The sequence below is a fragment of the Homo sapiens genome, chromosome 17, assembly GCF_000001405.40.
Source record: "Homo sapiens chromosome 17, GRCh38.p14 Primary Assembly".
Taxonomy (NCBI): Eukaryota; Metazoa; Chordata; class Mammalia; order Primates; family Hominidae; genus Homo; species Homo sapiens.
In genome coordinates this window covers 4,311,871-4,337,992 of record NC_000017.11, presented here as the reverse complement: position 1 = coordinate 4,337,992, position 26,122 = coordinate 4,311,871, and the positions used below count along the sequence as shown (strand labels likewise).

The window sequence follows — 26,122 nt, the reverse complement described above, 5'->3', positions numbered from 1 at the left end:
TTCACCATGTTAGCCAGGATGGTCTTGATCTCCTGACCTCGTGATCCAACCGCCTCAGCCTCCCAAAGTGCTGGAATTACAGGCATGAGCCACCGTTCCTGGCTGCTCCTAGGTTTTAGAATTAATTCTGCAGGCTTCTGTTATCTTACTTGAGTAACTTTGAATTCCCTTGTTCTTATTTTTAAATGTTTATTTTCTAACCTTGAGTTGAATGCTCATTTAATTCTTGCTCAGTTGAAGGTGTTTAGGCTGTGGCTCTCTTCCTCTGAGTATAGCTTTATTAGTGTACCAAAGATTTTTTTCTCTTCTTTTTATTTTTTCTTTTCTTTTTTTTTTTTTGAGACCGAGTTTCGCTCTTGTTGCCCAGGCTGGAGTGCAGTGGCGTGATTTCAGCTCATTGCAACCTCCACCTCCCGGGTTCAAGTGATCCTCCTGCCTCAGCCTTCCGAGTAGCTGGGATTACAGGCATGCGCCACCGCACCTGGCTAACATTTGTATTTTTAGTAGAGTCAGGGTTTCACCGTGTTGGCCAGGCTGGTTTCGAACCCCTGACCTCAGGTGATCCACCTGCCTCGACCTCCCAAAGTGCTGGGATTACAGGCGTGAGCCACTGCCCCCAGCCTTCTTTTTCCTTTTCTTTCTTTCTTTCTTTTCTTTTCTTTTTTTTTTTTTTACACAGATTAGAGTGTAGTGGCATGAACACGACTCATTGCATCCTTGACCTCCTGGGCTCAAGGGATCCTCCCACCTCAACCTCTCAAATAGCTAGGACTTCAGGCACGCGCCAGGATGCCCGGCTAACTTTTTTTATTGTGTGAGCCGCTAGGCCCAGTCGTACCAGAGATTTTTATATGGGCAGTTTTTATCATTGTTATTTTCTAGGTAATCTCTATTGATTTTGATTTACATTACTCCATTCAATTACTTGAAGTAATTTAAGGAGAGAGAGTACATAAATGTCAAGTCTACTGCATTAAGGGGAGTAGCTTAATTGTTTCATTGTCAGATTGTATAGACTATTTCTACTTTCCTGAAATTTTTGAGGTGTTAATGGCCTAAATTGATGATCAGTTTTTATAACTGTTGCATAGAGACTTGATCTCATTCTTTCACATGTTCAGCCATTTTGTCGTTTATGTATTTGATCTTTCAGGAAATGATACTCTTATATTCTTACTTCTGCCTAAAAGTTTTTCTTAGATTTCTTTGAAATTTTTGTTCTGGCTGGGTGCGGTGGCTCACATGTAATCCCAGCCTGGCCAAAATGATGAAACCTCCCCTCTACTAAAAATACAAAAATTAGCTGGGTGTGGTGGTGCATGCCTGTAATCCCAGCTACTTTGGAGGCTGAGGCAGGAGAATCACTTGAACCTGGGAGGTGGAGGTTGCAGTGAGCCTTGCACCATTGTACTTGAGCCTGGGCAACAGAGCAAGACCCTGTCTCAAAAAAAAAAGTTTTTGTTGTAACTATATATTATGAAAATTTTGGTATATATAGTTTTATAACATATCTTTATAGATTGTAATCTTGATCATTATAAAAAATGACCCTTTTCTGCCTCCTTTAATATTCTTTCAGTTTGAATTCAGCTGGTTTTGAAAGGGTGTTGATGCTTGCTATGTATGCTTTTATCTAACCTTTTACTTTAACTTCTCAAAGTCTCTATTTTAGATTTGTCTCTTGTAGACCCTTGTAGTTGGATAAAGGTTAGTCTTGACTCAATTTGAGATGCTTTTAATCATTTACATTAATGTTATATATTTTGCTTTGCTTATATAATATTAGTGTATTTGTTTTGTTGTCATCTATATGTTTGCTTTTGGTTTTCTTTCTTTTCTTTTCTTTTTGAGACAGTCTAGCTCTGTCGCCCAGGCTGGAGTGCAGTGGCATGATCTCGGGCTCACTGCAACCTCCACCTCCCGGGTTCAAGCGATTCTCCTGCCTCAGCCTCCCGAGTAGCTGGAATTACAGGCGCCTGCCACCATGCCCGGCTAATTTTTGTATTTTTAGTAGAGATGGGATTTCACCATGTTGGCCAGGCTGGTCTCGAACTCCTGACCTCAAGTGATCCTCCCGCCTTGGCCTCCCAAAGTGCTGGGATTATAGGTGAGAGCTACAGTGTCTGGCTTGGTTTTCTTCCTTTAAACTACATGGTTTGTTTTCTTTATTTGCTATCCCTTCTGTCTCATTTTGTAAGTTATATACTGTATTTCGTTATGTCTAAGATACCGTTGGTGGTTGTGTGCTTCGTTATTTTGTATACCATTAATACAGTTAAATGCTGTCAAAGAAACTATGACGTACCATTGATTGAAATATGCATGCTGATTTCAGATAGACAAAAATGTGAAAAAGGTACATCTTAGAATAGATTAAACATGGTAGTTTGTAGTTCTATGGGTATTATAAAGCTATAGCTTTAATATATTTAAATCTATTATGTTTATCAAATAGTTTTTTCAGGAGTGGTTGTTTGAGTGCTCTTATGTTCAAAAATGTCTGTTAGTGGCTTTCACAAGCAACGTGATGTTTTGGCTGGTTACAGAATTTTTGGGTTACGTTTCCCTTTCTCTTAATACCCAGCAGACACTATTCCATTATCTTCTGGCATCTAGGGTTACTCTAGAGAAGTCTGGGGCCAGCCTGACTGTTTTTTTCCCTTTGTAGGTGACCTACTTCTGCCTGAGTATTGCTAGAATTCTTTCTTTATCCTTGAAGTTCAGTAACTTCATCAGGATATAACTCGGTCTTGGTGTGATTCTCTTACATTTTCCTGTTAAATGGTAAGCCATTCAAACTGCAGATTCAGGAATATTTTCTTATACACCTTTTAATATGCATTCATTTTTATTTTTCTTTACTCAAGAAACATCAGTTTTATGATTGTTTATCTTCATTTCCTGTCTTCCATTTCATTACTTTTCTAAATGCTTCCTTTGTTCTTTTCTGCTGTGCTCGATGTGATTTTCTTGAGATTTTGTTTGATATCATGTTTGTTTTCATCAGTATCAGGTTGACTACTTCCTATATATGATGGGGTTTTCATTTTGCCAGTGGCTTCAGTACTTCATTCAATTTTATATATTTATGTCTGTGAGTTGCTCTTTCAACTTGTCTCATTTATTTCCTCTTTTAAAAAAAACTTTTACTTAACAGTAAAAACAGGTAAAACCACCTGTAATCCCAGCACTTTGGGATGCTGAGGCGGGTGGATCAGTTGAGGTCAGGAGTTTGAGACCAGCCTGGCCAACATGGTGAAAGCTGTCTCTACTAAAAATACAAAAATTAGCCCGGCGTGTTGGTGGGCGCCTGTAATCCTAGCTACTCGGGAGGCTGAGGCAGGAGAATCCGTTTGAACTGGGGAGGCAGAAGTTGCAGTGAGCTGAGATTGTGCCACTGCACTCCAGCTTGGGCGACAGAGACTCCCTCTCAAAAACAAACAAACAAACAGGTAAAACCACATTGTTTTTGAGAAGATGGGTTAAAACCAGTTACAAGTGACTAATATTAAAATTTACTCTCTAAGAAGTGATGAGTAAAATGGTTTTATCAAGTCTTGTGTTTTATTAATGGCATGAAATATAGAAAAGCAGGCTTAGAGATACTATTTTTTACAGTTGGATAAACTTTTGTACACAGTAGAAATCTGATTTTGCCATGTGTTTTTTTGTTTATGAGGGAGAAGTGTTCAATGACTTTTTCCCAAAGATTTTTTTTTTTCATTCAGTGAATTACAAAATGTGCTAGAAAAATATAATGGAAATGTACCTTGCATGGTGGCTTATGCCTGTAATCCCAGCACTTTAGAAGGCCAAAGCAGGTGGATGGCTTGAGCCTAGGAGCCTAGGCTGCAGTGAGCCATGATCATGCCATTGCACTCCAGCCTGGGCAACAGAGTGAGACCCTGTCAAAAAAAAAAAACCATGGAAATTATAACTGACATGTTCTGCCATTCACGTGCCACAATTCAAGACCTGCTATGTGATTTTCTCCTGAATGCCAGTCTTTGTTTTCTTCTGAGGAAATGAAGGTGATCAGTGATAAGCCCCCTGGTCTTCATTCAGGGTTGAAGGGAATAGTGAAAACTGTGAACGTGTACAACTTGTGGTTACTAAGAGTGAGACTTTGACTGCGAATTAGGCAAAAGGTGTAAGTCTTTTACTTTTTTTTTTTGAGACGGAGTCTCACTGTGTCACCCAGGCTGGAGTGCAGTGGTGCAATCTCGGCTCACTGCAACCTCTGCCTCCTGGGTTCGAGATTCCCCTGCCTCAGCCTCCCCAGTAGCTGGGACTACAGGTGCGTGCCACCACACCCATCTAATTTTTTGTATTTTTAGTAGAGACGGGGTTTCACTGTGTTAGACAGGATGGTCTCGATCTCCTGACCCTGTGATCCACCCGCCTCAGCCTCCCAAAGTGCTGGGATTACAGGTGTGAGCCACCACACCTGGCCAGCGCCCAGCTAATTTTTGTATTTTTAGTAGAGATGGGGTTTCTCCATGTTGGCCAGGCTGGTGTCGAATTTCTGACCTCAGGTGATCTGCCTGCCTCGACCTCCCAAGTGCTGGGATCACAGACAGAGCCACCGTGCCCGGCCCGTCTTTTACATTTTACATATTTTAGCTGTTTAGGGAACAGCTTCGCCCGTAAGTTTTTTTCTTCTCTTCTTTTAAAATGATGGCTGAGATACACACATTCTTTACATTACTTTTGATGTGAACGAAGGTCATTTCAGTAGACTTGCACATTTAGAGTATGCCAGCAACTTACTCAATATTGCGATAGGTGGAATTTACGGTCTGGCGTCTGAATTGTAGCTTATCCTCAACCATCAAAATTCCTACCCAAATTTCTTGTGTTCCAAACTTAAGAATTGTTGTGTTTCATTGCCAATAACATGGCTTTTTCCTAAAGTGATACATATTTTTAAGTAATTCATTTCTTGGGCAAATATTTACTGCCAGAGACTGTCACAGGTCCTGGGGCTATATCAGTAAATAAACAAAAACCCTTGTTCTTATAGAGCTTGCTTTGTAGTTAGGGTAGGGGAGAGAAGAATTAATAGAAAGTGTAGAGTGCTGTGTGGAAACTAGAACAGGGAAAGAGGATAAAATAAGGAGTGTGTAAGGGGGTGGGGTTTCATTAAAAATAGGGTGACAGTGGACCGAGGAACTCAGGTGAATGAGTGAATCATGCAGAGGTTAGGTGAGGCAAGCACAAGGGCCCTGAAATGGGGCTGACCTGAACGCTGGAGGGAGGTGGCAGAGCGGTTAGCTGAAGGTTGGAGAGAGATGCTGGTTAAAGCCCCTGAACGCTGGAGGGAGGTGGCACAGCACTTAGCTGAAGGTTGGAGAGAGATGCTGGTTAAAGCCCCTGCGGTGGCAGAGCGGTTAGCTGAAGGTTGGAGAGAGATGCTGGTTAATTCTGAAGGACCCTATAGGCCATCACACAGGCCATTGCTCTGAGTGAGAATGGGAAGCTGTTGGTATAGTGACATGATGTGACTCACATTTTTCCAGGATTACTTCTGCCTGCTGGGTTGAGAGTAGATACAATAGGGAAGGTATTTTCCATAGTACCCCAGCACATGCATTTTTATTAAACATTTGTGGCTGAAATGAAAGCTTCACCAACAATAACCCTATTTTATTTTTTGTTTCTGTTAGGAAAAATGAGTGCTGGTTATGTTCCACTAGATCTATTTCATGACTGTGTGACTTACGGTTGAAAAACACTGCCAAATAGAATATAGCCTCTGACTTAGTGGACAAGAAGTAAAATTGAGGTTTGTGTATGAAAGCAAAGTGAACACAATGTAAAATAAAAAAAGAATAAAAACTTAAAAATCAACATTATGTATATGTATATATACTTAGCTTTAAAAAACCCAAATAATCAAATACCAGTGATTCAAGAGGCCTAATAGTGAACAATGCATTCAGTGAAGGATAATGAAGAATTCCCCAGAGGCAACTGCTTTTTAAAACCTTTTAGGTTCAGATCTCCTGGGGGCTTAACTCCATGCTTCTAAATAATATATTTATAGTGTTTATGTTTTGGTTTATCAACTTTAGACATTCTCTGTTGACTTCTTGCTATGACAGATGTTTTCAGTCCCACTTCTCACTACTGATCTCCCTCGTACGACGGTCACTGAACTGGCGCCTCTCTGGGGTTCTGCCCAGAAGATTAGCCTTCCTCCTTCGCTGCAGCTCCTCTGTGAGTATTCTGCTCTCTGCTCCCTCCACTCTGCTTACTCAGTTCACGTTCTTCCATCCGTTTTCATCTTTCAGAGCCATGGGCAATCCACCTGGTCTTTTTAATATACTTTAAATTAAAAAGTTATTTTTTAATTTCTTTAGAAAAATTTATTTAACTTCTTAGGAGGGAAGAGGAGATAAGCACATGTGCCCGCACTGACACCTTGAACTAGAAGACACGATTAGGCCAAAGCTTTTTGTTGTCAAAAGTGTGTAGTGTATGTGTTTTAAGAGTTAGATATATTCAGAATATCTTATCTTTTAAAAATTGTAAATATTTCCCCATGTCCTGAAATATTCTTGTAAAGTATTTTAAATAGATGCATAGCATTCCTTCATATGCTGCTACTATCATATTCCCCACATCTTGACTTCTGGGTTTTCAAATTATAGTTGTAAACCACTTAAATTATAATTAGTGCTTCTGTGGATTTTCCTTATGAAAACATTTATACATAATCCTTGATTATTTCTCTTCGGATAAATTTCTGGTCATTTCTTAGTTAAGGAAAATAAATATTTTTGAGGTTCTTCATAAATATTACTGATTGCCTTCTAGAAAGGCTTTGCTAATTTGTATTTCCACTATTAACTGTATCAAAGTGCCACTTTTTATTGTGTTCTTCATACCACCAGGAACTTTAAAAAATGTTTGATTCTGCTAGGTAAAAAGAAAATTATTTTAAAAATTCCCAAGAAAGGTGAACACCTTGACAGTTTGGAATGTGTGTGTGTGTGTGTGTGTGTGTGTGTGTGGTTTTAAAGGTTTATAAGAGTAATTATTTGCCTTTTAATTTTTTATGGCTATTTTGGCATTTAGAAATTTTATTTTTCTGGCCAGGGCACAGTGGCTCATCATGCCTGTAATCCCAGCACTTTGGGAGGCCAAGGTGGGTAGATCTGTTGAGGTCAGGAGTTTGAAACCAGCCTGGCCAACATGGTGAAACCCCGTCTCTAATTAATAAATAAATAAATAAAATATATTTTATTTATTTGAGATGGAGTTTCACTCTTGTTGTCCAGGCTGGAGCGCAATGGTGCGATCTTGGCTCACCGCAACCTCCGCCTCCTGGGTTCAAGCAATTCTCCTGCCTCAGCCTCCCAAGCAGCTGGGATTACAGGCATGTGCCACCATGCCTGGCTAATTTTGTATTTTTACTAGAGACAGGGTTTCTCCATGTTGGTCAGGTTAGCCTCGAACTCCTGACCTCAGGTGATCCGCCCACCTTGGCCTCCCAAAGTGCTGGGATTACAGGCATGAGCCACCGCGACTGGCTGAAATTTTATTTTTTTAAAATCATCCAGCTAAGTAGGCTTTCCCATTTATTTATTTTTTGACACTTAGAGTAATGTTTCCCATTCCTAAAATCAAATAAGAGTATGCAAAATGTGAAGATAGCTTTGAATTTGGAGTGGCGTATGGAAAAGTGCCTGGGAGAAACTTGGCGGCAGTTGATTTAGAAACAATTAGGCTTTGGCTTGTGTTAAAAATCTGTGGATCATTTAGATTTTCGATTGTTGCTGTCCCCATGTCTCCTGTTGCCCCATACTATAGATGGTGTTAAATTGTTAGACACTTCCATGAATGTACTTCATACATGTAAAACTTCGTAGATGCATGACTCATGGCTCTGGGTGGTCTAGCTAAACTAGTCTTTTACGTCATACGTGTAAAACTTTGTAGATGCAATAACTCATGGCTCTGGGTAGTCTAGCTAAGCTAGTCTTTCCACTCAAAGAGCACGATACTTAAGCTTTCTCCTGGTGAGTCATGAATTGTCATCAGGGAATTTCTCACTGTTTGGCTTAATTCGATTAGGAACTGCTACTGGTGATAGTTTAGTCCTTATTTAGTTTTAGTCTAAGAGAACCTTACTGACGTTACTATAAATCTAAAAAAAAAAAGCATACCTTTAAAAAAGCCTAATGGCAATGGACTAGTCAGGATAGTAAGAAAAAGTTATACTGGAAAGAGAGAGATGGTTTATGAATTGGTTACAAAAAATACATCAGTATTATTTTGAAGACAACCCTGATTTCAGTCATGGTTGAAATCCTTAACCAACCACAAAAATGTCTTACATTTTAAATATATTAAAGTCCTTAAATTATGGAAATAGTGTCTTCTAAGAAGTTGTTTAATAGTGGAAAGAAGAGTCTCAGTCTCTTTTTTTTTTTTGAGACAGAGTCTCATTCACCCAGGCTGGAGTGCAGTGGTGCCATCTCAGCTCACTGCAACCTCTACCTCCTGGGATCAAGCGATCCTCCTGCCTCAGCCTCCCCAGTAGTTGAGACCACAGACACATGCCACCATGCCCGGCTAATTTTTTTTTTGAGACAGAATCTCGCTCTGTCACCCAGGCTGGAGTGCAATGGTGCGATCTCTGCTCACTGCAACCTCCGCCTCCCAGGTTCAAGCAGTTCTCCTGCCTCAGCCTCTGGAGTAGCTGAGACTACAGGCACACTCCACCACGCCTGACTCATTTTTTGTATTTTTGTAGAGACGGGGTTTCACCATGTTGCCCAGGCTGGTCTTGAACTCCTGAGCTCAGGCAATCCGCCTGCCTCGGCCTTCCAAAGTGCTAGGATTACAGAAGTGTCTTTTTTTTTTTTTTTTTTTTTTCTTTTTGAGACGGAGTCTCTCTCTGTCACCCAGGCTGGAGTGCATGGCGCGATCTCTGCTCACTGAAGCTCCACCTCCCGGGTTCACGCCATTCTCCTGCCTCAGCCTCCTGAGTAGCTGGGACTACAGGCGTCCGCCACCACGCCTGGCTAATTTTTTGTATCCTTGGCTAATTCTTTGTATTTTTAGTAGAGACGGAGTTTCACCATGTTAGCCAGGATGGTCTTGATCTCCTGACCTCGTGATCTGCCCGCCCCGGCCTCCCAAAGTGCGGGGATTACAGGCGTGAGCCACCGCGCCCCGCCCACCATTGTCATGTTGTTAGTGCAGCACAGAAGCCCATCAAGTGGCAGTCAATAATTTCCTAATTTGTTTTTGAAAAAAACTTAGCTACATTCCAATTTTCTACGTGCTTAGGTTTCTTTTATAAGTTTGAATAAATGTATAAATAACTTCAGGGTTGTTTTATGGGTTCTTGGTACCTCACACAGATAAACTTGTAAATGGAATAAGATGTAGAGGAATGCAAAAGAAGCTAAGGAGCAAGCATGACAGCATCCTCTTATTTTATCGCCTTCTCCTCTGCAGTAGTCAGGGTACAGGGCACTGAATTCAGATCAAAATCATAGACTTTACTGTATCTCTTGCTGGCGAAAATATTTAAGTTATCTGACATTTACTAGGTCTATTAAATCACCCAAGGGAAGAACTTTTTTTGTATGCATACGGTAGTAAAGGGCTTTTGCAAAACCAGTATGTTGATATTTTGGACAACATAAAACAATATACACCTTGTACATTTACTTTAAAAATTAACTTGTGAAAAGCATTTCTCATTTTGTTTACTTAGTTTTTAAATAAAGCCAGACTAGTTTAGCTTAATATATGGGTTCTCAGCTGGGAGAACCAGATTAACCATCATTCTAGTCAAGGCTTTGAGTTTCCATTCTCTGAAATGATGACTTGCAACTTGGTGGAATTTGATATTCTTTCCAAAACTAAGAAATTTTGGTGATCCATTCGGAGTTATTTCTGCTCTCTTTCTTTAACAGTGAGACTGAGAGTATCGGTCTACTTGCACTGCACATGGGCCAAAATGGGCCTTTCACAGGAGAAGCTCTACACAAAGGAAAGGAGAAAGGGTTCCTGCAGAAGGAAGAGAAGGGCAGATTTGTTCTCAGAGGTCACTTATGTTAAGGCAAGGATGGCAGATGTCTCATCATGGATTTATTTGGCGGGTGTGGCTGCTGAGTACTGTATTGGGAGGAATCCTAAGTACGTGATAGGTTATTAATGGTGCTGTCTTTGGGTGTGGGCCACGTCGAAGGCTTGAGGGTGATTCAGAGTAATGACACAGTCCGTCTGTATTTTAGGACCTGCCACACAAGGAGGTAGGAATATGCTTGGCTTCCATTTGATGTGTCCCACACTTCTGATATGTATATTGGACTTTTTAACTACTCCATTCTACTCTTCCCCCTTCTCACTACTGTACTTAACTAAGTCTTAATAAACAAACACACAAACCGGTAACTCCTCATCCCTCTTTATCCTGAGCCCCTGGCAACCCCCATTCTATTTTCTCTCTCTGAGTTTGACTTCTCAAGGTATTTTCTTTTCTTTTTCTGTTTCTTTTATTTGTGACAGTCTCGCTCTGTTGCCCAGGCTGGGGTGCAGTGGTGTGATCTTGGCTCAGTACAACCTCTGCTTCCCGGTTCCAAGCGAATCTCCTGCCTCGGCCTCCCAAGTAGCTGGATTAGGGGTGCCCGCCACTACGCCACTACGGCTATTTTTGTATTTTTGTATTTTTTTTGAGACAGAGTCTTGCTCTGTCACCCAGGCTGGAGTGCAGTGGCGCGATCTCGGCTCACTGCAACCTCTGCCTCCCAGGTTGAAGCGATTCTTCCTGCCTCAGCCTCCCGAGTAGCTGGGATTAACAGGCATGAGCCACCATGCCTGGCTAATTTTGTATTTTTGGTAGAGACGGGGTTTTGCCATGTTGGTCAGGCTGGCCTCGAACTTCTGAACTCAGGTGATCCACCTGCCTCGGCCTCCCAAAGTACTGGGATTACAGGCGTGAGCCACCGTGCCTGGCCAATTTTTGTATTTTAGTAGAGACGTGGTTTTGCCATGTTGGCCTGGCTGGTTTCAAACTCCTGACCTCAGGTGATCTGCCCACCTTGGCCTCCCAAGTGCTGGGATTACAGGTGTGAGCCACTGCACCTGGCTGCAAGGTATTTTCATGTAAGTGGACTCATACAATATTTATCCTTTTGTATCTGGCTTATTGCACTTGGCATAATATTTTCAAGTTCATTCATGTTGTAGAATGTATCATAATTTCATTCCTTTTTAAAGCTGAGTAACATCCTGTTGTATGTATATACTGCACATTTTGTTTATCCATTCATCTGTTGGTTGACAATTGGGTTGTTTCCACGTTTTGACTGTTGTGAATAATGCTGCTTTGAACATTGGTGTACAAACATCTGTTTGACCCCCTGCTTTAATTCTTTTGCATATATAACCAGAAGTGAAATTGCTGGATCATATGGTAATTCTAAGTTTAATATTTTGAGGACATGCCATGCCGCCTTTCACAATGGTTGCATCCTCTTACATTCCCATTAGCAATGCATGGGGTTCTAATTTCTCTACATTCTTGTCAACACTTGTCATTTTCTGTGTGTGTGTTTAATAGCAATTCTAATTGGTGTGAAGTGGTATCTCATTGTGGTTTTGAATTTCTTCTATTATTAGTGATATTGAGCATCTTTGCATTGTGCTTGTTGACCAGACATCTTTTTATCTTTGGAGAAATGCCTATTCAAGTCATTTGCCCATTTTTGCATTGGTTTTCTTGTTGTTATTGAGTTGTATGAGTTCTTTTTGTATTCTGGATATTAATCCTTTATCAGATAGGTGATTTACAATATTTTTCCCATTTTTTTGGGGGTTGCTTTTGATGAACTAAAGTTTTAAATTTTGATCCAGATCATTTATTTTTTCTTTTGTCTCTATTGCTCTTGGTGTCATGTCCAAGAGTTTGTTGCTAAATCCAATGTCTTGAAGATTTTCTCTTATTTTTTCGCCTGAGAGTTTTAAAGTTTTAGCTCTTACGTTTAAGTTTTCAGTTCATTTAGAGTTATTTTTTGCATATCATGTAAGGAAAGAATCCACCTTCATTCTTTTGCTTATGGATACCCAGTTTCCCTAGTGTTGTTTATTGAAAGATTTTCTTTCCTCATTGAGCGGTCTAGTCAACCTTGTTGAAAATCAGTTGGCCATATATGCAAGGGTTTTATTTCTAGGCTCTTATTTTGTTTCATTGGTGTATATTATGTCTGTCTTTTTGCCAATACCACAGTGTTTTGATTATTGTCGTTTTGTAGTAAGCCTTGGAATCAGGACATGTGAGTTCTCCAACTTTGTTCTTGTTTTCAAGAATGTTTCGGCAATTTGGGGTGTGAATTTTAGGATGGGTTTTCCAAAAGTTGTTGGGATTTTGATACAGGGATTACATTGTATTTGTAAATTGCTTTGGGTGGATTTTTTTGTGTTTGAGGAAAAGATTCAGTTGTTTAGAAGTCTCTTAAGCTCTCTTTATTTTACTTTTGTCTTTCCAGCATATGTCTCTTTCATATATTCACTTATACAGAATAGTGTACATATGTGTGATACATGCAATGTAAATATGTACAATTTTAAGAGTTATTTAAAAACAAAAACCATGTAACTGCTAGCAGGTGAAGAAATAGTTGGTTGAAGTTTTAAAACTACTGAAATAGAGTTATGACTGATGGACTACATTGACACGTCATCACCCACAATCCCATCATTTATATCAGGGTTCACTTTTGGTATTGTACATTCTATGGGTTTAGAGAAATATTTGACGTGTATCTTACCATTATAGTATCATACAGAATACTTTGATGGCCCTAAGAATCCTCTTCAGATTGAATTTTTGAAGATTTTAAACTACTTTTTTTTTTTGTTTTTTGTTTTTTTTGTTTGTTTGGTTGGTTTTTTTGAGACGGAGTCTCGCTCTGTCCCCCAGGCTGGAGTGCAGTGGCGCGATCTTGGCTCACTGCAAGCTTTGCCTCCTGGGTTCACGCCGTTCTCCTGCCTCAGCCTCCCGAGTAGCTGGGACTACAGAAGCCTGCCACCACGCCCGGCTAATTTTTTGTATTTTCAGTAGAGACGTGGTTTCACTGTGTTAGCCAGGATGGTCTCGATCTCCTGACCTCGTGATCCGCCCATCTTGGCCTCCCAAAATGCTGGGATTACGGGCGTGAGCCACCGCGCCCGGCCTTAAACTAGTTGTTAAATAGAGTATCCTATTCAACATTGTGGATTTTTCTAATTATTTTCTCAAGAAATCATTTAACTGGCTGGACATGGTGGCTCATGCCTGTGATCCCAGCATTTTGGGAGGCTGAGTTGGGAGGATCACTTGAATCCAGCAGTTTGAGACCAGCCTGGACAATATAGTGAGACCCCTATCTCACTTTATAAATAAAGCAATTGTTTCACTTATTTCCACATCCCCTAGATTTCCTGCAAACTGTAGCAGTACTATCTAATAGAAACATGGGAACCACACATGAAAGCCTAATGTGTGATTTTAAAATTGTAACCACATTTAGAAATGTAAAAAGATAGGTAAAATTCATTTTAATAATTCATTTAACTCAATATACCCAAAATATAATTTCAAGATGGAATCAGCATAACTTTTTTCTCACAAAGTCTTCAAAAATCCAGTTTATATTTTACATTTGCAGCACATGTTAAGTAAGACTAGCCACTTCTTAGGTGCTCAGTAGCCACATGCGACTAGTGGCTATTATATTAGAAAGTGCAGGTCTAACCTAAGAAGCTTGATTTGATTCAGTGTAAACATTTTGGGGGAGGGGCAAGAGTATGTCATAGATGAAGCTTGTGTATACCATTTTGCATCAAATAAGAAGATACACATTCTTGGGTTAATGGTTCTAAATTCGAACAATTATTTGGTGATTGCCAGATTTCTCCGTTGCGAAGATGCATTATCTCTTTTTACTGGTGAGTAATCTGTGGGGTGATGCTTGGGCATCATATTCTGTTCTCCAGTGACCTTTTCACTTAATGGTTTTAGCATCCATTGATCATCCTTGCCTGGATTATTACATTAAGGGTTGCAAATGAAATGCTCTAAATATATCTATGTAACAAATTTCCACCCCTTTCTTCCATTATATAAAGCATTAAAAATACTAGTTACTGGCCAGGTGCAGTGGCTCACACCTGTAATCCCAGGACTTTGGGAGGCCGAGGTGGGCAGATTGCTTGAGCCCACTTCGAGACCATGATGCCCATGGTGAAACCCTGCCTCTACAAAAAATATAAAAATGAATTGGGCATGGTGCCATGTACCTATAGACCCAGCTACTCAGGAGGCTCGGGAGGATTGCCTGAGTCCAGGAGGTCAAGGCTTTAGTGAACTGTGATTGTGCCACTGCACTCCAGCCTGGGCGACAAAGCTGTTCTCTCAGCCCAGTCTCCTTAGTAAGATCTAATAATTTTTCCTTTGGGAGATGACTTTCTCTAAACTTTGGAGGTCAGCAATAAATTGAAAGGGACTAGTTTCTTATCTGATTAATTCATTTTCATTTTGATGAATTCGTATGCCTTCTTAGGTTCTTCCTTAAAATCCTTAATTAAAGGAGTTTTGTCTTCATCATCATCCTGCATCAGAAACGGCATCAGTAATTGATATTTAATCTCATAGGTTGTGATGAGTCCTTACTTTTGTTTTACAGGTTGCTCTTAAGTATTGTTGGGTTTTCAGAGTATATCAGCAAAGGCTTTAGCTTAACATCGCTCAATTTTTTAAATATAAAAGCAATGTTAGCCTGACACGTTTTCTTTTTAAATTTCTTACCAAAGCACAAGATGGCATTCTTTAAGAAAGGTCTATTTTTGTCAGTTATAAATTTGCTTTCCAATATTTCTCCTTTATTAATAGTTTTCTGCAATTCATTGGGGGAAAGTTTGTTGCAGTCTCGCTATCAGCAGAAGCTAATTTATTTATCAGTGATATTTAATGTTATGCATTTATGTACTGTTCTTAAACCTCTCAAACAATTCAGGGCTTGCTTTGCAACTGAGCTGCTCACCAAATTCTCCTGTTTCTCTCCTTTCACCTCCATCACTTCGGAGATATGAAATGCACATTGCTGTTGCCACAGTGCTCGGTGGTTCCATGCTGCTGGTGGTTATACATTTTTGTATGAAGTATTACCGTAACTGTTAGACATCAACATTGCCTTCCATTTGTATTTCTGTTGCATAGAAACAGTCTTATGTGTGATACAGGGGATATACTTAAAGTCAGGGGCTCAGCTTTTGGTTCCCTTGCCTTTAAATAAATGCATTACTTCCAATTTTTTCTTTCAGTGTTTGTACTTTCCTAGGCCTCTTACATAGGTTCACCTGTATTTTCCCAGGACACCCCATTTTCTTAGAAGCCATTTTTACTTAATGTGGAGAAGATCATGTACAAGATGCCTTTCAGTAGAAGTTATATTTCATGCACAACATTTCTGATCATGCAGCAGGGCTCTCTTCTTTTGCTAATGTGATTATAAGGAGAAGAAGCACATACAAATAAATAGTTATTTGAATTAGAGAAATATAATCTCCTAATGCCATCTTAGGGAAGAGTTTGAGGAGGAGTTCAAGGCATGATAGGAAGATACAACAGAGGGTGAGTTAGTGTCAGCAGATCACAGCTACTTTGACATAATCACACCTGTTGTTCCCCTTTGGAAGAAATCTTGGATTGGACCTGGCATGGTCTGCTGCTTACATTATTCTTTCTTTCTTATGTCAAGAAGTGGGTGGAGACTACTTAGAGGAATGAGGAATCAACACCATCTTAATATGTGTTTGTGAGTAGAACATCTTGTATTTGTATTACCTGTTCCAGTTTTTAACTTTGTGCATTTTATGTGAATCCACTTCTTATACTTCCATTAAAAGTAGTTTAATACTTGGTCATATGTTAGAAACCTGTCATTCAGATTGTTGCATTTCAAAATGTAGACAAAGCTGTCATTCTGACTTGTTTGGCTTTTGAGTTTCATACCACACTTAGTCCAATCAAAATATAAAAAAGAAAAATTATGTTGCTAATTTTCAAATTTCAAACTTTTGCTTTAATTATAATAAACTTTATAGACACACATTTGAATCGCACACTAATAGCCTAGGAAAATTAGGGGTTTAAATGTAAATATTGCCTTCATCCCTTAGACTCTAAGTAATAGCAACAAACATTGGGCAAATTGGCTGGGTTCACCTGTAATCCCGGCACTTGGGTGGGCAGGGTTGGGGGGCGAGCTCAGGAGTTCAAGACCAGTCTGGGCAACGTAGGAAGACCTTGTCTCTACCAAAAATACAAAAAAAAGACAGACATGGTGGTTTGTGCCTGTGGTCCCAGCTACTCAGGAGGCTGAGGTGGGAGGATTGCTTGAGCCCAGGAGGCGGAGGTTGCAGTGAGCCATGAACACACTACTGCGCTCCAGCCTGGGCCACAGAGTGAAACTCTGTCTCCAAAAAAAGAAAGAAGGCCACAATGCTTAAAAAGCCCATCCAAATAATCAGAAAAAAGAGAATCACTCAATGTAAAAAAAACGGGGTGGGGGAATAAAAATATGTAAATGCACCAAAGATAAATTGCCAGTGGCAGAAGGATGCCCAGTGTTAGCCAGCAGTAAAAGTACCCAGTGTTAGCAAGGCTGTAGGGAAATAGTTGCCTACAGTGTTTCTGGGATAATACATTGAAGTAAACATTTTGTGGCTTGATATATATGTTCCTTTGACTTACAGTTCAGTTTATAGTTTATATTCTAGATATACTTCCACAGATGTACAAGGAGAGTGCAAAGTATTCTTTTTAAATTAATTTTTTTTTAAGATGGGGTCTTCCTCTATTGTTCAGGCTGGAGTGCCATGGTGCGATCATAGCTCACTGCAGCCTCAGACTCTCCTGGGCTCAAGAGATTTTCCCTCTTCATCCCCCAGAACAGTTGGGGCTACAGGTTCACACCGCCTGGCAATGGCAGCATTGTTTTTTCTTTTTATTTATTTTTAAAAAGACTTTTAAATATTCATAATTTCTTTTTTTTACTTTTTGTTTTTTTCACTCCTCTCAGCTCATACCTAGGCAGCATTATTTATATTTGAGGGGGAAAACGAAAAGAGGTATGGTGGTGGGAACGAGTTATCTAGTGTTCAGACTATGCTAAGTGGCCATCAGTTATACAAGGATGATTCCATTTCTGTATAGTATATGGTGGTGTAGCCTAAGTCTGAAAGAATACACAGCAAATTGTTAGCAGTGGTTGTCTTTGGAGAGCAAGAAGGTAGTGTCTAATGCCTTCTATTTTATTTTCCTATGTTACTTTAGGATACATGGCCTTTTTTCATAATTTAAAAAATCAAAGTACATAAAAGAAAGTTGAAAATATTCTACTACTTAGTAATAACAACCACCACCTACAGATGTCTCCCAACGTTGGGCATCCTTGCATCCACCTTTCAGTGCATGCATGCGGGCTGAAATCTGAGGTTGTAATAGATGTGCCATTTATATACTTTAAGTTGCAAGTTGCATATGAATGACAACCCAGCTAAGGTAATATTGAAGAAATTATTGACCTATAGATAGACATTTATCGCAAGAAGAGATTAATTTCTAAAAGAGTCCTAAAGTTGAGAGAAGAAAATCTATAAAAACCTCTAAATAGTTTTGAGACTCTTGATAGAACCCACTGACTTCCTGATGTCCAGGATGAGGGAATAAACACATATGTATTCCTTAGTACCTCTCTCCCTTTCCCTCCATTCCCTTCCCATTTTCTAATCATAAATATAGATATATTTAGTAATTGGTTATTCTTTTTTAACATAGAAATCCTGATAATGTAAAATTACGACAATACAGAAAATAACAATGTAAAATCCTGACAATGTAAATTTATATATAAATCCTGATAATGTAAAAATAGGACCAATGGCAACAAGAAAATAATACACACACACACACACGTGTGCCACTTGGCAATGACAGCATATATTATTAAATATATATATATAAAAGCTTATAGCATTCATGGTGGTTTGGTTTTATTTATGCATTTACATGGGGTTGGTAACTACACTGGTCCCTTTCACCTGCGTTTTTCTGTTACTGAATTCTTTATTTTGATTGATTTCGCAGCATTTAATTCAAAAAGTACCATTTCTTAAGTCCTTAAAGTTTACAATACATGTAAATGTGTATTACCATCTTATTTGGACTTCCTGTTTGGGCTTCTCTCTCTCTCTTTTTTTTTTTTCGACACAGGTGCCTAGGCTGGAGTGCAGCAGCATGCTTACAGCTCACTGCAGCCTCGACCTCCTGGGCTCAAGTGATCTGCCCACCTTAGCCTCCTGAGTGGCTGGCACCACAGGCGCTTGCCGCCATGTCCAGCTAATTTTTGTATTTTTTGTAGAGGTGGTGTCTCCCTGTGTTGTCCAGGCTGGTCTTGAACTCCTGGGTTCAAGCATCTACTTGCCTGGGCCTCCCAAAGTGCTGAGATTACAGGCATGAGCCACCATGCCTGGCTGCATTTCTCATTCTTTTTATCACATTCTTCTTCAGGATTCCGTATTTCTTCACGTCACTGTTACTTACCTACAATGAGTATTGTGGAGAAATCTGAGGCTAACCTGGTTGGTTCCACCCACCCACCTATACTGGACTTGTTTTTTCCCTTCCTGAATATCCTTGATATTATTTAACTTTAAAGTTCAGTGCCTCATTTGACAGATGTTTTATTGTTTATTCTGTACCAGTTTTTTCTGAGTTGTGGGATATGTTTTCAATCTGTATATTTATTATTATAGAAAGCTTTATAGATTTATGACATTTTAATATTCTGATCTCTTCAGGAATGCCAGTTTAACTTATGTAAATCTCCTTTGTTTATTATCTTTACTCTTTAAAAATAACTATTTATCTTTTCATTAGAAGTATGATTTCTGAAAGTTATGACCATGATTTGTTTTTAGTCTGTTTTTCACTTTCCTTTAAGGTCTCCTGTTGCTTTATAATGTTTTCTTTCTGGTCTTCTTTAAAAATATGTTTCTGTAATTTCTTTGAGACTGTTTTTCTGAAGTCTTTCTGGTTTTTTATATGTATTATTTGGTGGTTGAAATGAACTTAAAGTGAATTGGAAATTCAAGAATCTCATGACTGTGCTTGCTTCCTTCAGCAGCAGCATGCTTACGACTCACTGCAGCCTGAGAATCACTTTTTTGCCCCGTATAATGTGGGGAAGGTAAAAGGACAGTTGAGAACCACTGGTGTATTCGAGGGGAAACTGATTAGGGACCAACTGGGATGTGAACTTAAAAATAGGGCTTTACACATGAAGAAGGTGGCATTCTTAGTTGGAAGTGACAGGAATTCAACTAAAATAAATTTAGACAAAAAGGAAAACTGACTTCTAACTAAGTTTATAGAAGGGCAGGAGTAGTACCAGGTGTAAGAAATCAAAGATCTGTTTGGATTTCTTGTTGCTTATTCTTCGTTTTGGCTTCATTCTCCTTGAGACTTGAATTGCGGCTATTGGCAGCTCTCAGGCCTTTATGGCACAGCTTCCCAACTCTGAAAAACCACTCCCTCCTGTGGCCTTGGGGTACCGGGGGCCTTGTTTGGCAGTCCTACTAGAAACATAGTTGGGCGTGAGGTTTGAAGCTGGGTAGTATTTTCCAAAAGAAATAATTCAGGTATGGGCTTGTTCTCAGGATTCTGAAGAATACAGACGTATTCCTTTTATGTCCTGTAGCCTAATTAATGAGCAATTTTAAAGGAAGAAAATGGACAACTAACATTTATTGTACCTTAAGCTGGGTCAGACTTTCGCATATACAATATCTTCTCCGTGTTGCAACGTTACCAAGGGCTTTACCATCCTTTACTGATAAGGAAAATGAGACTCAAAAAATAGAAATGATCTGTTTAAGTTGCCCAGGCTAGTAATACATAATATCATATGCTGTGCCCAAATTTTCCATTGTGAAGTGACATTCAGAAATCCTCAGGAATCATCTTTATCAAATTTATTTCTATAAAATAGGCGAGATCAAAGTAAGCTGTTTGTGTGACACTATAAACTAGTGTTAGGGCATAATTTCGGTATTGTGAGGAGTTCCTGCTGCGACAAATCTTGGCAGAGATGCATGCTTATGCTATTGTGTATAATTTATGCACAAGCAACAACGTACTTAGGACTTAATATTGAAGAACCCTGACGCCTGTGATTGAAGAAGCTGTGATAAGCAGGGTGAAATATTACAGGTAGCAGAATGTCAGTAAGTGTTATTTTAGGAATGTGGTCCAGAATTCTGCCAAGCAAATCCCTTTGGGAAGCATATTGACAAATTCTTTTTAAGGGATCATCTCTGATCTGTTTGGCTTGTCTGTTTCATTTTCCTTATGTTTTTGAAGCACAGTAAAATAAATTGGGTGGAATATTTTTTGTTTTGTTGTTTTTTGAGACAGGGTCTCACTCTGTATTTCCCAGGCTGGAGTGCATTGGTGTGGTTTTGGCTCACTGCACTTTCTACTTCCCAGGCTCAAGCAGTCCTCCCACCTCAGCCTTCCGAGTAACTGGGACTATATAGGCACATGCCACCATGTCCGGCTAATTTTTTTTTTTCTTTTTGAGACGAAGTCTCGCTCTTGTCGCCTAGGCTGTAGTGCAGTGACACGATCTCAGCTCATTGCAACCTCCTTCTCCCAGGTTCAAGCGATTCTCCTGCCTCAGCCTCCTGAATAGCTGGGATTAGAGGCACCCGCTACCACGCCTGGCTAATTTTTGTATTTTTAGTGGAGATGGGGTTTCACCATTCTGGCCAGGCTTGTCTTAAACTCCTGACCTCAGGTTATCTCCCTGCCTCAGCCTTCCAAAGTACTGGGATTACAGGCGTGAGCCACCACACCTGGACAGGGTATCACTATAGTGCCAAGCCTGGTCTCAAATTTCTAGGTTCAAGCGATCCTCCTGCCTCGGCCTCCCAAAGTGTTCGGATTAGAGGCCACCGAGCCTGGCCTTGATTTTTTTTTTTTTTTTTTTTATTCAAGAGACATGGTCTTGCTCCAAGCTGGAGTGCATTGGCACCTTCTTAGGTTACTGCAGCCTCAAACTTCCGGGCCCAAACAGTCCTCCTGACTCAGCGTCCCCAGTAGCTAGGACTGGGTCTCTCTATGTTGCTGTTGCCTAGGCTGGTCTTGAACTCCTGCCCTTAAGCGATCCTCCCACCTTGACCTCCCAAAGCACTGAGATTACAGGTATGAGCCACTGTGCCTGGCCAAAAATGTTTTTGATTAGGAAATCAGCTAGCCGGTAGCCCGTGTCGTGGTACAAATAAAAAATTCTAATTTTAAGCAAATTTTTAAAGTTTACCAGAAATTTGTAAAATTTATTAACTTGATGCATCTTGAAATCTAAAGAGGAAATACACCTTTGTGATTGCTATGCTTGACTTTTTTCAGTATTAATTAATGGAAGGTTGAAGGACGGGAACGTTTTTGCAGTTACTTTTGGTGACTTGGTTTGTGGCATTTTTATGTTTTAAGGTAACAGCAGTTTATTCCTCTGATAATAAGGTCAAAATTATTTTGACAAATTATCTCAATAGTTAGGAGTAATTATGTACTGTTTGGGTAAAGGGGTCTGTCTATCTATGATCTCAGAAGTTCAAAGTGAAGCTGCAGTAAAAATAGTTACTTTACAGACATATACCTTGCAGCCAACTGTGTTGTATAAATAAACTTGACAGGAACTCACATTCCCGGAGCAGGAGACCACAGTCACCCAGACACAAAGGAAAATCGTTACTAGGCTGTAAACCTCAGTTTGTATTTGGCTTTGTAGAAGTTAGACTTAGCCAACAATTGGTCTTGGCAAAGTACACTTAGGCGGTGGCTCACGCTTGTAATCCCAGCACTTTGAGAGGCCGAGGTGGGCGGATCACGAGATCAGGAGATCGAGACCACGGTGAAACCCCGTCTCTACTAAAAACATATATATATAAAAAATTAGCCGGGCGTGGTGGTGGGCGCCTGTAGTCCCAGCTACTCGGAGAGGCTGAGGCAGGAGAATGGCGTGAACCCAGGAGGTGGAGCTTGTAGTGAGCTGAGATCGCGCCACTGCACTCCAGCCTGGGCTACAGAGCGAGACTCCGTCTCAGGGAGGAAAAAAAAAAAAAAAAAGGAGCCTCTTTTCTTCTGTTTTTTTGTTTGTTTGTTTTTGTTTTTTGTTTTTTGTTTTTTTGAGATGGAGTCTCGCTCTTTCGCCCAGGCTGGAGTGCAGTGGCGCGATCTCGGCTCACTGCAAGCTCCGCCTCCCGGGTTCACGCCATTCTCCTGCCTCAGCCTCCCGAGTAGCTGGGACTACAGGCGCCCGCCACCACGCCCGGCTATTTTTTTGTATTTTTGGTAGAGACGGGGTTTCACGGTGTTAGCCAAGATGGTCTCCATCTCCTGACCTCATGATCCGCCCGTCTCAGCCTCCGAAAGTGCTGGGATTACAGGCGCGAGCCACAGCGCCCGGCCAAAAGTAGCTTATTTTCTTAGTAGTCAAGTACAAAATGACGTCTAGTTGGGTCTTGGAATGTTATTCTGAGAATTTGTATTTTGCTGAGGTGCAGTGAAGTTTTACTTTTACATAATGATCGACAATACTGAAAACATTATTTTAGGCTATATTAAACTTATTTTTAGATTAAAAAAATCTTTTGAGGAAAATTTTAAATGCCCAATAATACCAAAGTAGACAGATAGGTATAATGGGCCTCCATGTACTCCCCCAGCCCCTGAAGTGATTAGGTCATGGATCAGCCTCGTTTCACCTATCTTAGCCCTCTCCCTAATGACTGTGAAGTACATTCTAAACATGATCATTTGTCTGTAAATATTTCAGTATGTATCTCTAAAAATGGTAAGAAAACCCCCAGCACAACACCACTGCCAAACTCAAAAAGGAAACAACAATTTCTGGATATTGTCTAATGTCTCATTACTCTTCACATTTTCATTTGTGTCATAATCGTCATAAATTTAAAAAAAGTTTGAATTCATTTCTCTCTTTTGTGCTCCTTGCAGTATATTTGCTGAAGATTCTAGGTCTTGTTCTTTAGAATATCCTGCAGAGTAGATCTTGCTAATTGTGTCCCAGGGATGTCCTTGAACATGTTTCTCTGTTTCTGTTCTTTGTGAATTAGTTATTGTACTTAGGGGCTCAAACAGGTTAGGTTTGTGAGGTGAGATTACTTCATATGTGGTGGTTTGTTCATTTTTCAGGAGACTGTAATATCTGGTTGTCTTTTAAAATGCCTGGATTAAATGATAAAATGGCCAATGTTTCAGTTATTTTTCATTTTTTAGCTGGAGTATTTTTATAGAGAGAAACCTCATTTGATCAAATAGTAATTACTATTTTGATTACTTGGCAATATAATTTGTGTAATAAAAAAGGATCACACTAAATGTTGATTCTTTTGCTTTTTAAAATTGGTTTTCAGAATAACAAAATGGTTTCCCAGCATCCTGTAGTGGTGATAAATTTGTTTCTTGTTTTTGATTTCACAGTTATAAACTCATGGATTTAAACTTGCATATTTCAAGCATTCGTTGTTACTAACTTTATTGACACTCAAATTGTCCCATATTTGACCAGTGGAGGCCTCTTCAAGCTGGCTCTTGAGTCCTTTCCACAATACCATAGTATTACTCGATAGCTTCCTTTTTGTCTGCTATGTGTGAGATGAACCTAACATTTCTTGCTCTAGACCTGGAGTCAGCCATTTCTCTGAAGAGCCCTGGTCCGTTTTAGTGATAAATTCATATTTAGAAACCATATTCTGGGCACTACTGGGCTGTTCATTTTTTCTAGACCTTTTCAGTGGATAGATCTGAGAACTATATATTTGAAAGCAATGTCATTTTATATTCATCTAATTCCGATTCAGAAATGCAGCGTTTTTACTTTTCATATGCTCTTTCTGTTCTTTTTTAGTCTTATTCTTGGTAATGACTCTATCTTAGCAAGTCTGCTCATGCATTATTTTCCATGACTTAACACATAGAAGTCATTACTCTCAAGGACACTACCTTGTCCCTGGGTTTCCTTTTTATTCATGGCTTGTAGACCACTCTGGCCCACAGTGATTTCCAGATTCATAGCATGCAAGCATAACTCCCATTTAACAGTCACTGGATACTCCAGGATTTACTGAGTTTTAAAAATTGAAGTATAACATTGACAGGAAAGTACGCACATATTACGGACGGCATGCCTCTACCAGTACACCAGAAGTCCGTTCCATGCCTCTTCCCAGATACTACTCTCACTTCCTGCTCCAAAAGACAGAGAGAGAGAGAGAGAGAAATACTATCGTCCTGATTTGTAATACTGTTGGTTAGTTTTGCCTCCTTTAGAACTATAAACTTTTGTGTTTTAGCAGTCATGACTTTTGTGAGAAAGAGAGGTCTTTCTAGCCCTTTCCAACTCTTAATTTTATCTCTAGATAGCATTCAGAAAAGATGTTATCTTCATCTTTGGCATTCTCAAAACTCCTAATACCTTAGGAATATAAGTAGAAGGTCAAGCATGGTCACTTTTGGGTTTTAGTTTCCCTTTTGATTTACAGAAGCTCTGTTTGTATTAGGAATTTTAAACTTCTCCCTATTTTGCAAATATTCTTTCCCAGTCATTTGTATTTAGACTTTATTGCTGTACTAACCTTAAAGTATTTTGTGTAGCATTATTTGACTGTTGAGTTTTGTGTCCTGCATAGGAGGACCACCTCCACTCAAATTGATGTGAAAAAACACTATTCTATGTTTTCTTTTAGTTAGGTTTTATACCTCTTTGTTTATATCTGTAATCTGTCTGGATTTGGATGTAGTGTGAGGTATCCGTATCAACATTTAAACACAGATAGGATGTTTTAACATCTTTCAGCCTTTTCCATTAAAATAAAACTTGCTTGAATTTCATTTACCCGTGACTACTACACTTTTCCATCTACCGTCAAACTTTTAGAAAAAATTTCCACTTGGGTTTTTCCACTTCATCTTCTCTTTGTCCACTCAGCGTTGCCTGCATGGATTCCACCTTACCTTCACACTGACACTGCTTATGCCGAGGGCAACTGTGGCCTTTTTTTTTTAATTGAATCCAGTGGACTGAATATAGACCCCTTCTTCCCTGAGCTGTATGTGTTTATCATCATTGGATAGTTTCTCCTTTAAATGCATCTCCTTTAGCTTTAATAAAATGTTTTCTTGGCTTTTGTTTTTTTTTTTTTTTTTTTTGAGATGGAGTCTTGCTCTATCGCCCAGGCTGGAGTGCAGTGGCGCGATCTCGGCTCATTGCAAGCTCCGCCTCCCAGGTTCACGCCATTTTCCTGCCTCAGCCTCCCGAGTAGCTGGGACTACAGGTGCCCGCCACCACGCCCGGCTAATTTTTTGCATTTTTAGTAGAGACGGGGTTTCACCGTGTTAGCCAGGATGGTCTCGATCTCTTGACCTCGTGATCCGCCTGCCTCGGCCTCCCTATTTCACTGGCTTACCTTTCTCAGTTTACCTTGTGCCGCCTCCTGTTTTTTGTTTCTCAGTTGTTAATATTTTCTAGAATTCATTCGGTTACATCCCCTGCAGTTTATATTAATGCTTATCCTTGGGTGATGCATCAACTTACAACCTCAGTGATCAGCCATATTCTGATAACCCTGAAGTCTCTATCGTCAGCTCAGATTTTTTTTTCTTTCTTTTTTTTGAGTCGGAGTTTCACTCTATTGCCCAGGCTGGAGTGCAGTGGCATGATCTCGGTGACCTCCGCCTCCTGGGTTCAAGCGATTCTCCTGCCTCCCAAGTAGCTGGGACTACAGGCGCCCACCACCACCCGGCTAATTTTTGTATTTTTAGTGGAGATGAGGTTTCACTGTGTTAGCCAGGCTGGTCTCGAACTCCCTCACCTCAGATGATCCACCCGCCTTGGCATCCCAAAGTGTCGGGATTACAGGCGGGAGCCACCGTGCCCAGTAGATTTCTTTTTAAAGCAATGTATTTTTTGTCCCTAACAAAAGGCATTTAATACCAAGCCCATCACCATTTCCTCCCCTCTCTTGACAAACCTCC

At 39.9% G+C, this 26,122-nt stretch overlaps 1 protein-coding gene across 1 annotated transcript in view, besides 3 other annotated features; it reads left to right on the top strand.

Annotated features, from left to right (window-relative positions):
* The window catches only part of UBE2G1 (ubiquitin conjugating enzyme E2 G1), a 97,417-nt gene that overhangs the window by 28,683 nt on the left and 42,612 nt on the right, over nucleotides 1–26,122 (top strand). The window lies entirely within an intron of this gene.
* Nucleotides 208–988: an enhancer, noted in NCBI's record as "H3K4me1 hESC enhancer chr17:4240300-4241080 (GRCh37/hg19 assembly coordinates)". NCBI's record gives its function as "activates a minimal SCP1, AML or CMV promoter by ChIP-STARR-seq in primed H9 embryonic stem cells {active_cell/tissue: H9 hESC(primed)}" and the evidence as "EXISTENCE:reporter gene assay evidence [ECO:0000049][PMID:30033119]".
* Nucleotides 3,924–4,837: an enhancer, noted in NCBI's record as "H3K4me1 hESC enhancer chr17:4236451-4237364 (GRCh37/hg19 assembly coordinates)". NCBI's record gives its function as "activates a minimal SCP1, AML or CMV promoter by ChIP-STARR-seq in primed H9 embryonic stem cells {active_cell/tissue: H9 hESC(primed)}" and the evidence as "EXISTENCE:reporter gene assay evidence [ECO:0000049][PMID:30033119]".
* Nucleotides 20,036–20,803: an enhancer, noted in NCBI's record as "H3K4me1 hESC enhancer chr17:4220485-4221252 (GRCh37/hg19 assembly coordinates)". NCBI's record gives its function as "activates a minimal SCP1, AML or CMV promoter by ChIP-STARR-seq in primed H9 embryonic stem cells {active_cell/tissue: H9 hESC(primed)}" and the evidence as "EXISTENCE:reporter gene assay evidence [ECO:0000049][PMID:30033119]".